Source organism: Homo sapiens, chromosome 15 (genome assembly GCF_000001405.40).
Source record: "Homo sapiens chromosome 15, GRCh38.p14 Primary Assembly".
Taxonomy (NCBI): Eukaryota; Metazoa; Chordata; class Mammalia; order Primates; family Hominidae; genus Homo; species Homo sapiens.
Genome location: NC_000015.10, coordinates 78,751,401 through 78,767,059, shown reverse-complemented (window position 1 = coordinate 78,767,059; position 15,659 = coordinate 78,751,401). Strand labels below are relative to the sequence as shown.

The following is a 15,659-nucleotide window of genomic DNA, read 5'->3' as shown; positions in this document are numbered from 1 at the left end:
CCCTGCAGTGCTCAGTGACATGTGGGGAGGGCACTCAGCGCCGAAATGTCCTCTGCACCAATGACACCGGTGTCCCCTGTGACGAGGCCCAGCAGCCAGCCAGCGAAGTCACCTGCTCTCTGCCACTCTGTCGGTGGCCCCTGGGCACACTGGGCCCTGAAGGCTCAGGCAGCGGCTCCTCCAGCCACGAGCTCTTCAACGAGGCTGACTTCATCCCGCACCACCTGGCCCCACGCCCTTCACCCGCCTCATCACCCAAGCCAGGCACCATGGGCAACGCCATTGAGGAGGAGGCTCCAGAGCTGGACCTGCCGGGGCCCGTGTTTGTGGACGACTTCTACTACGACTACAATTTCATCAATTTCCACGAGGATCTGTCCTACGGGCCCTCTGAGGAGCCCGATCTAGACCTGGCGGGGACAGGGGACCGGACACCCCCACCACACAGCCATCCTGCTGCGCCCTCCACGGGTAGCCCCGTGCCTGCCACAGAGCCTCCTGCAGCCAAGGAGGAGGGGGTACTGGGACCTTGGTCCCCGAGCCCTTGGCCTAGCCAGGCCGGCCGCTCCCCACCCCCACCCTCAGAGCAGACCCCTGGGAACCCTTTGATCAATTTCCTGCCTGAGGAAGACACCCCCATAGGGGCCCCAGATCTTGGGCTCCCCAGCCTGTCCTGGCCCAGGGTTTCCACTGATGGCCTGCAGACACCTGCCACCCCTGAGAGCCAAAATGATTTCCCAGTTGGCAAGGACAGCCAGAGCCAGCTGCCCCCTCCATGGCGGGACAGGACCAATGAGGTTTTCAAGGATGATGAGGAACCCAAGGGCCGAGGAGCACCCCACCTGCCCCCGAGACCCAGCTCCACGCTGCCCCCTTTGTCCCCTGTTGGCAGCACCCACTCCTCTCCTAGTCCTGACGTGGCGGAGCTGTGGACAGGAGGCACAGTGGCCTGGGAGCCAGCTCTGGAGGGTGGCCTGGGGCCTGTGGACAGTGAACTGTGGCCCACTGTTGGGGTGGCTTCTCTCCTTCCTCCTCCCATAGCCCCTCTGCCAGAGATGAAGGTCAGGGACAGTTCCCTGGAGCCGGGGACTCCCTCCTTCCCAACCCCAGGACCAGGCTCATGGGACCTGCAGACTGTGGCAGTGTGGGGGACCTTCCTCCCCACAACCCTGACTGGCCTCGGGCACATGCCTGAGCCTGCCCTGAACCCAGGACCCAAGGGTCAGCCTGAGTCCCTCAGCCCTGAGGTGCCCCTGAGCTCTAGGCTGCTGTCCACACCAGCTTGGGACAGCCCCGCCAACAGCCACAGAGTCCCTGAGACCCAGCCGCTGGCTCCCAGCCTGGCTGAAGCGGGGCCCCCCGCGGACCCGTTGGTTGTCAGGAACGCCGGCTGGCAAGCGGGAAACTGGAGCGAGGCAAGTGGTGTGGGCTGGGCGGGCAGGGAGTTTGCGCAGGACCTTGGTGACTATTTCCTCATCTGAAAATGAGCAGAGTGGGACACAGGCGCCGTCTGTCTAGCCTCTCTTGGGGCAGGGGTTCCCAGGATTAGGGGGATGAGGGGACCCCGGGCCCCATTCCTGGGCAGCACAGGGGGCCTCAGGGAAGGCAGGGGCAGGCACACTCTGGCAGCACAGCACACCCCAGAATGGAGCTGGCTCAGACAGCTGTGCAGTGGGGACGGTCCCCGCATGGCCGCCAGGCCCAGTCCTCCCCAGCAGGCAGCAGCTTCCCTGAGGCTGGACCTGGCTTCTCCAGGCTGGGCTCAGCCCACTGCCACCTGGCTCTGCCCTCAGTGGCTCCACCCTCCTTTGGCAGTGACCTGCAGGGGTCTGAGCTGCCAGAAAGAAGCTGGCTAGTGCCCCTCCCTGGGTCCCCAGATGGTCACTGCAGGAGAAGGAAGCTTCTGTTCAGATCCCTAATTTTGGGGCGGGAAGGGGCAGGCTGAGGCCCACAGGGCTTGTTTTGCGCAGGGATACCCAGCGATTTGGCTGCTGGTACCAGGACCCAGCCTTCCTTCCCTGGTGCCTCTGGGAAGCGACGAGGCTGGTCAAGATAGCTGGTCGGGGTGCCCACAGGGTCCCCTCCCCCCACCTCTGCACCAATGACACTGGAACACAGGCCCTTTGTCCCATGTGAGCAGGGACGGCTGGTTGCTGAGGGGATTTGACTTTTCATTCTCACGGTCTTCCTGGGAGGTGGGTGAAGGAGCCTATTTTGCAAATAAGGAAACTGAGGCCCAGAAGAGGGCCCCTGTCTTGCTGAGGTCTCGCTAGCCTAGGTGGGTAGTTTCCTGGCTGTGGAGGCCTGGCGGGGATGGGATCTGCCTGGCTTTCACGGGTCTCTGCCCCGCAGTGCTCTACCACCTGTGGCCTGGGTGCGGTCTGGAGGCCGGTGCGCTGTAGCTCCGGCCGGGATGAGGACTGCGCCCCCGCTGGCCGGCCCCAGCCTGCCCGCCGCTGCCACCTGCGGCCCTGTGCCACCTGGCACTCAGGCAACTGGAGTAAGGTGCGTGAGGATGGAGCCAGGACAGGCATTCCCAGGGCATGGGGTGGAGCCCTGGTTCCCCACGGCCTGTGTTCTGAGAGCGGCAGGGAAGGGGAGGGCCCCAGGCTGCACATCTGTGTGCCCGATCACACCGGATTCTGAATCTCTTGGGAGTCTTCTCATCTTTGTCTGGCTTGGCCTGTCTCCTTTCCTCTGTATCTTTGACCCCATCTGGACTTGTCTTTCACCAGCTTGCCTTTGTTCCTCCCTTTCTCTGTCTGTCCCAGCCCGTGGCAGCCCCTGGCCATGCCACCTTTTGCCTGGGGCCTGCCAGCCTTGGCCTCTCGCTGGGGTTCTTCAGCTATTCCCCCGGGCTGGGGCGTGGGCCTGGATGCCTTTCCCGCCACACACCTCACGGGGTCACGCCTGTGGGCCTGCACATGGGGATGTGTCCATACACGTCTCTCGGTCCCCAGTGCTCCCGCAGCTGCGGCGGAGGTTCCTCAGTGCGGGACGTGCAGTGTGTGGACACACGGGACCTCCGGCCACTGCGGCCCTTCCATTGTCAGCCCGGGCCTGCCAAGCCGCCTGCGCACCGGCCCTGCGGGGCCCAGCCCTGCCTCAGCTGGTACACATCTTCCTGGAGGGAGGTGAGGCCTGGCCGTTGAGTTGGGGGGAGGGGACGCCCTCAGACCCTGGCTGTGCCCTGACTCCTTCCCTGCCCACCCAGTGCTCCGAGGCCTGTGGCGGTGGTGAGCAGCAGCGTCTAGTGACCTGCCCGGAGCCAGGCCTCTGCGAGGAGGCGCTGAGACCCAACACCACCCGGCCCTGCAACACCCACCCCTGCACGCAGTGGGTGGTGGGGCCCTGGGGCCAGGTGAGCCGGGCTGCGGGGAGGAGCAGGGAGCAAGTGCTTGGTGGCGCCTGGTCAGTCTTGGGTTGGGTGAAGGAGCTGTGGAGTGTGTGCTGTGAGCCAGGCTCTTTGTGGCCCTGTCACTGGACGAGGCCCCGCCCGGCTGGTGCTCACACCTGCCAGGGAGAAACAGACAAGGAAAGGGCGCGTGTGCTGTGGTGTCAGGGAAGGCCTTCCAAGGAGGGGTCTGGGGTTGAGACCCGAGGGAGGAGTCAGTGATGCCAAGGACAGGGATCGAAGGGACATCAGGTGTGAAGTCTGAGGCAGGAATGACGAGCTTGAGGGGGCCGGGGAGCCCGGCAAAGGCCAGCGGCAGAAGGGGGCGTAAGAGGGGCCTCAGATGGGCAGGACACCTTCTGCTGGGCCTGTTTGGAACTGAGGGGTTCAGAAATCTCAGATTTGGGCCCTGAGCTGGGTCCTGGAGTCAGCTGGGCCAGCGTTTGCGTCTTTGTCCGACTGGCTGCTGAGTGACTCTGGGCAGGTTGCTTTGCGTTGCTGGGTCACTGTTTTCTCATCTGTAAAACTGGAACAGCTTAGGAGAGGAGGGTCAGGAGGATTAAATGAAGGAACGCAACGAAGCACAGGGCCGGGCACAGCATGACACTGGCACAGACTCAGTGCATGTTTAGGGCTGATAACAACGAAGCCTGGCGGGCTGGGCCCCGGCTGTGAAACTGTCTCCTGCCCTCCTGCCCATGGGCTGCGGCAGGTCCTCTGCCCTGTCCCTCGGGCACAGCGGTGTCTCGCCCACATCTCTGCCCACTGCTGCATCAGGGCTCCATCCCGGCGCCCCTGCCCAGGCTTCTCAGGCATGTCCTGTGTGAGGGGCTCACTGCCCTGCCGCCCCGAGGGCTGTCCCACGGTTCTCACGCCCCTTCCCTCTGCAGGAGCCGATCCCACAAGTGAGAGTGGGGTTCCAGCACCAAGTGGGCTCTAGGAATGGGACCAGGTGCTCCAGGAGGCACTGAGGGGGCGGCTGGGAGCAAGGCCAGGCCAGTCAGGCACAGGGCGCAGGGACGGCTTCCCAGAGGAGGTGTCCCTGCCCCCACTGCTAGGGCTGGCCCTGGAGACACTCATTCCTCCCCCGCTCCCCTCAGTGCTCAGGCCCCTGTGGTGGTGGTGTCCAGCGGCGCCTGGTCAAGTGTGTCAACACCCAGACAGGGCTGCCCGAGGAAGACAGTGACCAGTGTGGCCACGAGGCCTGGCCTGAGAGCTCCCGGCCGTGTGGCACCGAGGATTGTGAGCCCGTCGAGCCTCCCCGTGAGTCCCCTGACCCCAGGCTCCCTGCTGAAGTGAGGTGGGGTGGGGAGGGTGATGGGGAAATGGGGTCGTCAAACCATTGTGCCCACGGCACTGGCTGGTTCCATCTGTAGTCTGGGCTCAGGAGCCACATGGCCACTGAAAATCCTGATGCCACAGGATGCCATGCTGGAGGCTGGGCTGTGCTGGGAGTCAGTCAAGGGGAGTCCCGGCCACACAACATCCCATAGGCAGCTGTCTGACCTTGGGGGAGTAGAGGGAGTGGCCCTGGCCCCTGATTTGCTGTGTGAACCTGGGTAAGCTCTTTCTCCTCTAGGTCTCAGTCTTCCCACAGTGAGACCAGGGATGTCCCTGAGGCTGTGTGAAAACTGGGCCTGGGTGAGTCCCTGTCCCCAGCCCTGGCCTGTCCATTCCCTGGCTAGAGGACTGCCTAGAGTGAGCAATGGAACCACAGGAAGGGCCTCCTTTCCAGGGTCCTGCTAATGAGGTAATGGGGTTTGAGGCAGGAAGGGCCTCCCTTCCAGGGTCCTGTTAATCCCAGTGGTGGGGGGTTTCCTGGCCAGCTGGGTCCTGGTGGAAGGGCCTGAGGTAGAGGTGGTTCTGGACACCCCTGCCGCCGCCTCCAGCATGTGTGCGTGCGCGCACACACACACACACGCCAACACACACACACACAGTCATACACTTCCTTCCTGCAGCCCCAGCTGCTCCCGGAAGTGCTGAGGGCAGGAAATGGGGTGGCCCTGGAGTGTCACCTAGGCTCCCCTCACCAGCTGTGTGGCCTTGGGCTCCATTTCCCTCTCAGGGCCTTCATGTGCTGAATAAAGGGGCTGCCAAGCCCCATCCTTGCATAAATGAGGTCTGGGCATGAAGCACGCAGCACTGCGTGGGGATCCAGGTGGTGCTCAGGGAAGGTGGCTTTTTCCCCTCCCCCACAGCCACTGTCATCCCCAATTGCAAGGTCAGGGAGAGGGCCTGGGGCTGACCCTGCCAGTCTAAGGAATCCAGAAGCCGTGGCGTGAAGAGCTGTGTCCCCTGTGCTATTGGCTGTCTGCTCCCTGCCCCTAGGACAGAGTCCTCAGCCAGGGCCCTCAAGCTGGCATTCAGGGCCCCCTGCAATCTCCCCGGTCTGCCTTCTCCCCTTGTCCAACGCTGCCTTCTCTACCTGTGCCAGCTCCTGGGCAGCCCTCATTCAGGCTCAGAGTGGCCCCTGCCATGCCTCGCTGCCCTGCCTCTGGCATGGGTGGTCTTCCTGCCTCAAACCTCAAGGCCCAGTGGCAGCGCCCCCACCCTGTCCTGCCTGCCCTCAGCACGCACCCAGCCAGCATCTCAGAGCACTCCTATGTGCTACCTGAGCTGGGTGCTGGCACCACGTCTCTCACCTTTATGGCTAGGGCTGGCCACAGGGAGCGGGGTGGTTATGATCCCAGTGGGGGAGGACCAGATGGGGCAGAGAACAGAAACTGAGGCCCCTGGGGGCCTAGAACCAAGGACGGATGGCCCAGGAGGCTCTGGGCTTGCAAGGTCTCCCAGGGGCGGGTGTGAGTGGGCTGCAGGGAGTGGGCTATGGGGGCTGGTTAGGTGGCTGAACTAGAAGCTGTCCTAAGTGAGGAGTTTTCTGCCATCAGTGAACAGTGGAGGGGGGCTGGGAAGGTGTCTTGGACTTGGAGACCTGGAATTCCCAGATGTTCTGCTGGTCTGTGGGACAGTTGGCGGGACATGTGGAAAGCTGGGAAACTCGTGTGTGTGTGCTCACTGCAGTGACACAGCATGGCCACATCCATTTGCTGTGGAGGTGGGGTTGACAGAGGAGGGAACCGAGGCCCAAGAGGTGAAGCAGCTTGTCTGAGGTCACCCCGGGCGACCAGGATGCAGGCCTGCAGATGTGCACTTTGGAGCTCTGCCTGGAGCTGGGGTGGAGGAGCCTGCCTGCTGCCTCGTGCCCTCTGCCGGGCCTGGGGGATGTCCCAGGCCCAGGGCTGGCTGCTGCCTTCCTGCTCCTCCTCCCCAGGGAGGTCTGCTGGAGTAAGCAGGGCCCGGGTGGCAGCTGGGGGCTGTCAGCAGTGGCAGTGGCATCAGGAGCAAGGCCAGGAGGCTGGAAACAAGCCACTTCCCAAAATAGCTCTGATAACCACGGGGCAGGAGGGCCCAGCCAAGCCTCAGCCCTGACAAGCACAGCCTGCAGCTGGCCTCCCTCCCCAGCAGGCTGGGCTCAGTCTCTGGTTTCCGCTGACGGCCTGTAAGGCCCACTCACTCTAGGCTTCGTGGCCCACCTGAGAAGTGGGAGGCTGGCCTGGGAGATGGGACCCTGTGACTCAGAACCCGAGGCTGAGTACAGCCCCTGTGGCTGGAGGTGGTCACGGAGGCCTGGCAGGACAGATGCACTGGGGCAGGGGGCGGTGGCGGGAGTCGGGGGCAGAGGCCGCTGCAGGCTGGCAGGAGGCCCCGGGACCGCAGTTCTGTGCCAGGATCTGTCCGGGAACACCAGGGATGAGCAAGGATGGAGATGGGGTGGCAAGGCGTCGCCCTGGGCAGGCTCTTTAACAGGCATGTGAGGGGGTCAGGGTGGGGTCTCAGGACCTTTCCTCCAGAAACCTCAGCCCAGCAGCACCCGTTCTCGAGTCCTGGGGTTGGCCATGAGTAGGTGGGACAGAGACAGCAACAGTTGGAGACCTGCAACTCCGGTTCGGGAGCCGCTCCAGAAACTGGGGCTCTCTGCTTGGTGGGGAGCTGCTGGAGCCTCCTTAAGGTGGTTGGCGTAGGGAGCCAGGTTCTGGGTACCCCAAGCTACTGGTTCTGATGCCTCTCTGCCCCCCCACTCCAGGCTGTGAGCGGGACCGCCTGTCCTTCGGGTTCTGCGAGACGCTGCGCCTACTGGGCCGCTGCCAGCTGCCCACCATCCGCACCCAGTGCTGCCGCTCGTGCTCTCCGCCCAGCCACGGCGCCCCCTCCCGAGGCCATCAGCGGGTTGCCCGCCGCTGACTGCGCCAGGATGCACAGACCGACCGACAGACCTCAGTGCCCACCACGGGCTGTGGCGGAGCTCCCGCCCCCTGCGCCCTAATGGTGCTAACCCCCTCTCACTACCCAGCAGCAGGCTGGGGACCTCCTCCCCCTCAAAAAAGGTATTTTTTTATTCTAACAGTTTGTGTAACATTTATTATGATTTTACATAAATGAGCATCTACCATTCCAAAGCACAGCGTGACTTCGTCTTGGATTTGGAGAATCTTAAAAGTGAGAAACTCTTCCCCCCACCCCTCTGCCCAAAACTCCACCGCCACAGCACCTCGGCAGGCGTGGCTTTTCACCTGCTCCTCTGGGACAGATCTGCAGGGGGCAGCGTAGAAAATGAGTCCCTGAGAGCATGGCATCTGGTGAGGCACGGAAGGCCTCAGAAGCTGGGGGGCTGCTCCCCAGGGAGGGCTGTCTGCAGAGGGTGGGGTTCTGGGGGCAGGAAGGTCTTCCGGGCAGGGGCACGGCTTGGCCCTTACTTGCTGCCTGCCTTCAGCTCAGGCTCCCAGCCTTCCCTGGGGCCCCACTCTGTGGTCCTCAGAGACCTGTTCCACAGGGATTGAGCCCACCATGTCACTTGCAGGGACTGCCCCCTGGAGTGGTGGGGACTGGGGCCCCCATGGGGACCTCCCTGGCCCTGTCTGTTCTATCTGTTGACTCTTCTGCAAAAAGCAGGCAGAGAGGGGAAGAGCAGGCTGGCCAGCTGTGCCCTACTGTGTCCCCACGTGTCCCTTCATCTCTGTGCCCAGAGATAGGGCTGGGCTAATTGTCACTGCCTCAGGTTGGCCCCTTTCCCACCACCAGCCCCAGCTACAGGTTCCTACCACGCTGATCTATGGTCCAGCACCTGGCACCTGCCTACCCACAGCCCCTTCCCCTCCCATAAAATCTAGTCCCATGGAGCCAGACAGTAGTGCCCACAGCAGGGAACAGATGGGCATGAAGGTGCTTTGAAGAGGGTCCTGGCCTGACCAGGGGCGGGAGGCTGGGGAAGGGGCGGACACTGTCCCCCCAGGCCCAGGCCCAGCCCTGGATCCAACCCTGGCCTCTGGCTGTGAGCCTTAGACTCAGCCGTTGACAATTTCTTCCTCAGCCCTCCCCCTGGAAGGTGTTACGCCCCTTCTCCAGGTGGGGGACACTAAGGTTCAGAGAGCTCGCCCTGCAGCCTACAGGGGTCACCTCTCACATTCTACTCTCCAGCGTATGACAACCCTGGACGAAAGGTGAATGTAGCCCTGGAGCCTGCATGTGGCAGCCGCAGCCACTCAGGGCTGGGTATATGCTGGGGATGGAGGGGACACCACTGAAAATCACTCCTGGCTGGGCGCGGTGGCTCACACCTGTAATCCCAGCACTTTGGGAGGCTGAGGCGGGCGGATCACCTGAGGTCAGGAGTTTGAAACCAGCCTGGCCAATGTGGCAAAACCCCATTTCTGCTAAAAATACAAAAATTAGCCAGGTGCGGTGATGGGGACCTGTAATCCCAGCTACTTGGGAGGCTGAGGAAGGAGAATCGCTTGAACCTGGGAGGCGGAGGTTGCAGTGAACTGAGTTCGCACCTTTACACACCAGCCTGGGCGACAGAGCGAGACTCCATCTCACACAAAAAAAATAAAATAAAATTACTCCTTAGGGGCTGAGACCAAGAAACAGTATCAGAGGCTGAACCCCTCGGCGATGAGCGTCTGTCCCAGGACTTGGAAGGGAGGGAGGGAGCATGGCCACGGCAGCTGCCTGCAGGTGCGTGTCCTGCTGCTCCCCAATTCAACATGCTCACCTCATTTCACACCAACAAGCCCGATCCTCAGAGGAGGAACTCAAGGCTCTGAGAGGAAGTACCTGGCCCAAGGGCACATGCCCTGGTGACACAGGCCCATCCTAGGCTCCGACTGCCCACCTCCAAGCTCCAGGCTACCCTGAGCAGGTGGAAGAGGGAGAGGGCCCCAAGCAGGTCCCAGTGGTGGCTTTGCACAGAGAGGGCAGCCTGCCAGAGTTCACGCAGGAAAGCAAGTTGCTGGGCAAGCTAGCGTGAGTCCCAGCCCCGCTGTGCTGCCCGAGGGTGGAGGAGCGTCAGGCGTGCTTCCTGTCTGTCTGCAGCAGCCCGGCTGGCCCAAAGAGACCCTGGGGACCCACGCTCTGAGTCACGGCTTCCCAGGCCTTAGTCAGAACGGCCCCTGGTGGCACTCCCTTCCAAGGGGTGGGGAGCAGGGCCTGTCGACTTGCTCCTGACCCACACACCGAACCAGTCCCTGTCCCAGCTCTGCCGCCGCCGCTCTGCTGCGTGACTCCAGGAACCCCCAGCCTCGCTGAATCCACGTCCCCAGAAGAGAAAAGCCTGCCAGGCCTTGGCCTGCCCTGTCTGGGAATCCTTGATGGAGCCACCCCGAAACACCCCTATGGGAACCCCTTTGGTCTTCATCATTCTTGGGTGTTTTCCACTGATGACTGGGGGTGTCCCCAGTGGCAGCTGGGCCTGAGCTGTCAGCCAAGACGGGAGACAAACAAGCCTGTGACTCAGGCAGGGCATGGCACAGCTGGCGGAAGGAGGCATGCCTGTTCTTTGTGGCTGGGCGGGGGGTTATCCGGACACAGGGAGTCTCCAGCTTCCGGCTTTCCCACCTCGGTGCCCCCAGCCCACACCTGCAGCTTGGCCATGGTTCTTGGGGCCTCCCAAGGCTGCCCCTGCTGGCAAAGGCATCCTGATGCACCCGCCCCAGGGTGAGCCAAGGGCAGAGACACCCAGAAACGCCAGGCTGGAAGGTTGGAGAGCCCCTCCTCGCCCCCCGCAACACCAATAAGCCCTGCCCCACCCTCCAAGCCCTTGGGGTGAGCCCCATCACTAGTGACTATAACTGAATTTCAATGCAGAATATTATACAAATTAGTAGTTTATTTCTTCCTTTAGTATTACAGTTCCAAAACATAACTTGAAGGTCAGCACAGGAGCTGCTGTGATATAAAAGGAGAGAGTCACCTGGCGCCCCCTGCAGTCCTCCAGTTGCCCAGCAGCGGTGGGACGCTCAGTGGCACACACTGGGTCTCTGTATGGCCTCCCACCTGCAAGGACTTCCCCGGGCAGGCCCAGCTGCCCAGAAGCCCCGGAACACACAGGAAGACAACACTATAGGATGGCAGGTGGGGATCTGTGCAATACAAACATGTAGCTAGAAAACCCAACTGAGGATCTGTCTAGAATACTTCCGATATCAATATACCGTAGTTGTTGAAACCAGAACCGTCTCCAGCCGTCAGCAGTCTTGGCGGCTACTGTACAGCTGTCAGCATGACTACAGGCAGCACCCGAGGCTATCTGGGGTAAGAAGTGGGCCTGCACATCACATCGGTGAGTCAGTGAGAGTCAGGGCCAGAGGGAAAAGCAACTCGGAGGCTGAGGCTGGCACAGATACACACAAGGGAGTCACACACATAACATAAGAACTTGTTATATAAAATAGATATGTGGAATCTAGAAACACCTTGAGAAAATAGCCTATAAAAATATAAACTGTAGTGAGAGTGTACAAAAGTATTAACAGAGGTTCAACCCATAAAAAACCCCATCCATTTAAAAGCTGGCAATTCGCAGCAGATGTGGGGAGGGAGCTCCCCTCGGTCCTGGTGCGCGCATTTGGACAGGCCTTTGGGTTTCCCAGCTGGCAGGGTCCCCCTTGCAGGGGCCACGGGCTGGGTGTTGGGGTGAAGGTTCAGAGGAGGAACAGCAGCTTGGGGCAGCCCCTGTCAGAAGGGCCCCCTGCCATGGCAGCCAGTGGAGGCCAGGGACCTTCAGGGCACTGGAGGGGACAGAGCAGCTCTTTCCTCAGTGACCCGAGGGAGGGGAAGTGTTAGCGCAAAAGAGTGGGGCCCACAGTCCTGGAAGGAGGAGTTGGCTCCGTCCCGTTCCCAAACTTTAACCAGGCGGAGCCGCCCTCTCTTGCCTTCTGGACACGCATCACTTGATTCCAGGCAGGAGAACCTCTGAGAAAGTGTCCCCAGTCCCTTTCCTCCAGGAACTCTCCTGCTGTCGCACACACACACTACCCGGCAGCTGCTGACAACTGCCTGGAAACACTAACATACCACCGTGGGTTGCAGCCACGACGGGCCCCTGGTCAGGTGCATCTCTCAGGGCAAACTGGACAACACGAGCCTGTCCCTAAAGGCAGCTCTTAGCCCCAGGACATGGCAGTGTGTGCTGGCATGTTCCAGGGGCCATTGGCTTGGAAAGTAAAACCTAAGGGCAGCTGGTGCTGGCCCACGGGCCCAGCCCCATTCCTGCTGCACCTCCTCAGCAGCCACCCCCCAGGCTGACAGCTGTCGTTTCACGATGGGCTGAGGGGTGGGGTGGGGGGTTTCCAACACTTGATTCGAGCGGACTGCAACGCCCAGCTCACAGGACAACTGAAGGAGTCAGACCTCAAATTGCTGTTCTCAAAGACAATGACAACACCCATTTTTGATGCCTGAAAAGAGGCAAAGGCTTCTGGCTAAATATAGAGGCCAGCTCCGTCTACCCAGTGAAACATTAACCAACTCCGCTAAAGACACGAAGCCGGAGCTCACTCTAGCATGTGCTGAAACACCAACTTTGCCGTGGCATTGCTAGAAAGTTGACAGCAAAAAATAATAGGAAAAAAGTACTTCTTAAAACTGCATTACTTCAATTCTTAGTCTCAGTGTGTTCGTATCAACAGAGGATGGTTTCCAGTTTTTTTCGGGTAATATGAAACATTCCACTGAGACTGTTTCTCCTGTATTTTCATAACACTGTGCCAGAAAACATCCTCTCACATCTACGCATCAGGGATGGTCTAGAGGGATTAAGCAAAAACAAGCTCCTTGCTCAAAGCCTCTCCCCAGCCTTCAGAAAGGCAGTCCTCTGAGTTCCCAGAAACTGCTGTGTCAGAGGCAACAGTGACCCTGCATCCTGGCAGAGAACAAGGATGCTTCCAGGCAGTGGTGGGGTGGGCACACATCTGGGAGAGCTCGCCCAAGCCTGCCCCAAGCAAAAAAGTTTCCCAGCCCCAGGCACTGGCAGCTGGCCTCCTGCACAACCCAGGCAGGTGGAGGAGACACCAGGAGCACTGGCCATCCCCAAGGAGGCCATGGTTTTCAGCTGTCCAAGACCGTTCACACTGCGGCTGCACCACTGCCCTGCAAAGCACCCCCGAAAACATTCCTCCATCCCCTCAACCAAGGCCAGCCCAGGCGTGGGCCTGCTTTGCAATATGACGGTCCACTGTTTACTTGGAATCCCATCCCATCGTACTTGGTGAATGATTTCCACGAGTCAAGAAGGGCATTCCACAGAATCTCATGGAGCCATGTCAGGCATGGGGCAAGCTGGGGACAGAGCAGCCCAGTGATCTGCAAACACAGGCTGGCCATGAGAAGTGAGGGTGGGTGTCTGGGCAGCCAGGCCCTCCCCATGCAGGCTGGGAGCCACTGTTGGAAGAGTTGTGTGTGGAAGAGCACAGGCTATTCTAGAAATGGGGCATGGCTGGCAGCTTAAAGCCACCAGTGGGAGGTTCACGGGCTTTCTACAGTGGCCATTTCTGAACAAAGGATGTGCCTGCTTTTCTAAGGCAGCCCCTTTTCATACCGACCTTATGCCTGAGGCAGCAACCCTCTGGCCTACAGGTGCCTGAAGCATAGTGGGCATCCTTCATAGCACTGCCATTCAAAACCACACACCACTGCCCACTATGTACAGGAGAGAGAATATGGGGAGATGCCCAGCAAAGCAAGGTTTCAGAGGGTCAGAGCACCGACAGGCTGACGGAGGCTGGAAACAGGCTCTTGCAAATAGCCACTGGTAAGCCCGAGGATCCACCAATCAGGCAGAAAGCGTGACTGAGATATGTATAACCAAAAGTATGGCACGGAAATGGCTGTAAACAGATTAGACCTCCCACCCCTGCCCCCCGCACAGTGGGAAATGAGGAAGGGCAGCCTGGCTTGGGACATCTGCCCAGCAGATCCCCAGAGGCCACACACGTTACATTCTGGCTTTTAAGTGCACTTTCACCCTTTGGGCACACTTTGGTTGTGAAGGCAGGAAGAGCAGCGTCCCGGAGCCCACTCAGGTATCCTCCTCCTCGTCACTGACCAGCTCACCCTTGTCAGGGCTGGTGTCCCGCTCATGCAGGAAGTCCTCACGGATGGCCTCCAGCTCGGTCAGCTCCAGCCGGACTTTCTCCAAGTGGTAGGCACGTCGGTTCCGGATCTGGCGTACGGGGAAAGGGTTCAGGTCCCCAAAGGAGATACTGATCAGCTTCCTGGCAGGACGCAGGGGAGAGACAAGAGAATCAGCGGCGCTCCAGAGAGTGCTCACACACAGCCCTCACAGGCACAGCAGGTGGCCTGGGGCAGGGTGGGAAGAGCACTGGCCAGGCTGGGGGCCTGATGCAGGGGACGAGGCCCACCTTCTGCAGAGAGGTGACAAGGAACAAAGGCCCAGCAAGAGGCAGGTTCAGAATGATGGCCTGCACTCCAGCTCTGCCACATGCTTGCTGTGTGACTGAAGTCACTGCCTTTTGTGGCCTCTGATTCCTCATCTGCACACTGGGGTAACAGTAGTGCCACCTCCTAGGGTGTGGGATTACTCGTGTTCCCACACATAAGCGCTGAGAAGAGCTCCTGGCACTTGCATGGTGATGGTGGGTATGTCTGCATCCTTGGGCAGGCACGAGGCCTGGCACCGGGCACGAGTCCAGGACGTCTGTGTCCCAGGATTCATTGACTGGGAATGAACACAGGCCCAGGCAGTCCTGGTGATGACTGTCAGACCTAGTCGGCAATGTGACAAGTGTCCAGATGCAGTCTACAGAGAAATGTGCAGCTCGTGGGTTTCACATCCCCAGGTCAGGGCTCCAATTTTCAATAAAATGTTAAGGTTATGATCCACTTGCTCCTAACCACTGGTCAGTGGCTTAATAAAAACAAAACCAAAAGCTGTCCTGAGGCCTGGCTATGGATTTGTAGCACTAATGGGTCAGTCACACTGGTCTCTGGGGATCACAAAATAGGCCAGTTCCTCCAACACTGGGGCCACCATCTTCCCCTCTCTGGATTCTGCCAGGCCCCAGATGCTTTGTATCCACCAACATGGGCTCATGCGCTTCCCTGTCAACCAAAGGCCCAACAGACTCACCAGCCCCAGGAAAAGCTGTGATGAAACAGAAATGCCCCGAAGGACTTCCTGCCTGTCCCCATCAGAGCAGGCCATTTGCTCCTGCTGCTGTCGGCTGCGTGGGCTCCTTTTAACACAGGCACACACGAGGGTGCAACCTTTTATGTTTCAAAACACCCACTACTACCTGGACATGCTTAACTCTCATCCAGAGGCTTAAGGTCAGAAAGGCCAGCTTTATTTAAATTCCGAATTCACCAGTGTGTGTTCTGGAACATGGGAGCACCAGAGAACAGAGAACGCCCAAGCACAGGGGTCCCCGCGTGTGGATTTCTCAGGTTCCGCCTCCTGCCTGGCTCTGCAGACCGGGCTGCCAGCCCCAGCAGGTGGGAGGAGGCTCCGTGTGAACGGGGCACAGGGTCCCCACCACCAGTCCTTTCTCCCCAACAGCTGTCAGCCCACAGCCCCCACAAACCCCAAACCTACGGCGCCCAACACTCCTGTGCTGCAGAACACGAGCCCGAAGTATAATTCTTCATTTGCTCCTCAGTCAGGAGCTGACAGAGACCCCTCGGCCCAGGCTGGCACCCGGGAAGCCAGACCCCACCTCTGCCTCAGGCCTGGAAGGTTCCTCTGGGAGATGAGAAGGTGTCCCATGGTCAGCTAAATTTGGGAGACGATGCTCAGCGCCTTAAAAGGCTCCTAGAAGTCCTGCTGCAGAACGTGGTTCAATCCTGTGTAACTCCCGTCTCCTGAATGCAGCTGACCACACAACTCCCTCCCTGTGTTTCTGAAGGCCAATCGCTGTGCTGCAGGACTGGCCTCCTTGCAACCACTAGTCTGGGAAGCTCATTAAAA

The 15,659-nt window shown here is 60.2% G+C and overlaps 1 protein-coding gene, 1 long non-coding RNA gene and 1 pseudogene across 6 annotated transcripts in view, besides 3 other annotated features; 2 read left to right on the top strand and 1 right to left on the bottom strand.

Annotated features, from left to right (window-relative positions):
• Nucleotides 1–7,854, top strand: part of ADAMTS7 (ADAM metallopeptidase with thrombospondin type 1 motif 7) — a 52,259-nt gene extending 44,405 nt beyond the window's left edge. For 3 of the 4 annotated variants that reach the window (XM_047432122.1, XM_047432123.1, XM_011521166.3), the window contains 6 exons: nucleotides 9–1,415; nucleotides 2,353–2,505; nucleotides 2,961–3,134; nucleotides 3,215–3,361; nucleotides 4,495–4,657; nucleotides 4,974–5,144. In XM_047432122.1, coding sequence (XP_047288078.1) covers nucleotides 9–1,415; nucleotides 2,353–2,505; nucleotides 2,961–3,134; nucleotides 3,215–3,361; nucleotides 4,495–4,657; nucleotides 4,974–5,140 — 2,211 coding nt within the window. In that variant the 3' untranslated portion in view covers nucleotides 5,141–5,144. Of the gene's footprint in view, nucleotides 1–8; nucleotides 1,416–2,352; nucleotides 2,506–2,960; nucleotides 3,135–3,214; nucleotides 3,362–4,494; nucleotides 4,658–4,973; nucleotides 5,145–7,481 lie in introns of those variants that run through there. The other variant, NM_014272.5, reaches the window with a different exon arrangement.
• Nucleotides 9,129–9,933: an enhancer, noted in NCBI's record as "H3K4me1 hESC enhancer chr15:79049469-79050273 (GRCh37/hg19 assembly coordinates)". NCBI's record gives its function as "activates a minimal SCP1, AML or CMV promoter by ChIP-STARR-seq in naive H9 embryonic stem cells {active_cell/tissue: H9 hESC(naive)}" and the evidence as "EXISTENCE:reporter gene assay evidence [ECO:0000049][PMID:30033119]".
• LOC112268143 (uncharacterized) lies at nucleotides 9,315–11,096 on the top strand. The gene is made up of 2 exons (XR_002957697.1): nucleotides 9,315–9,412; nucleotides 10,578–11,096. It is a non-coding gene; the product is annotated as an uncharacterized LOC112268143 (long non-coding RNA).
• Nucleotides 9,934–10,738: an enhancer, noted in NCBI's record as "H3K4me1 hESC enhancer chr15:79048664-79049468 (GRCh37/hg19 assembly coordinates)". NCBI's record gives its function as "activates a minimal SCP1, AML or CMV promoter by ChIP-STARR-seq in naive H9 embryonic stem cells {active_cell/tissue: H9 hESC(naive)}" and the evidence as "EXISTENCE:reporter gene assay evidence [ECO:0000049][PMID:30033119]".
• Nucleotides 10,049–10,258: an enhancer, noted in NCBI's record as "active region_9921". NCBI's record gives its function as "activates an Ori minimal core promoter by ATAC-STARR-seq in GM12878 lymphoblastoid cells {active_cell/tissue: GM12878}" and the evidence as "EXISTENCE:reporter gene assay evidence [ECO:0000049][PMID:35858748]".
• A 2,571-nt stretch (nucleotides 11,097–13,667) lies between the features above and the next one.
• On the bottom strand, nucleotides 13,668–15,023 carry LOC646938 (TBC1 domain family member 2B pseudogene; annotated as a pseudogene). The gene is made up of 2 exons (NR_036495.1): nucleotides 14,823–15,023; nucleotides 13,668–13,947 (listed from the first exon to the last, which is right to left on the bottom strand). The product of NR_036495.1 is annotated as a TBC1 domain family member 2B pseudogene (transcript).
• Between the last annotated feature and the right edge of the window lie 636 nt (nucleotides 15,024–15,659).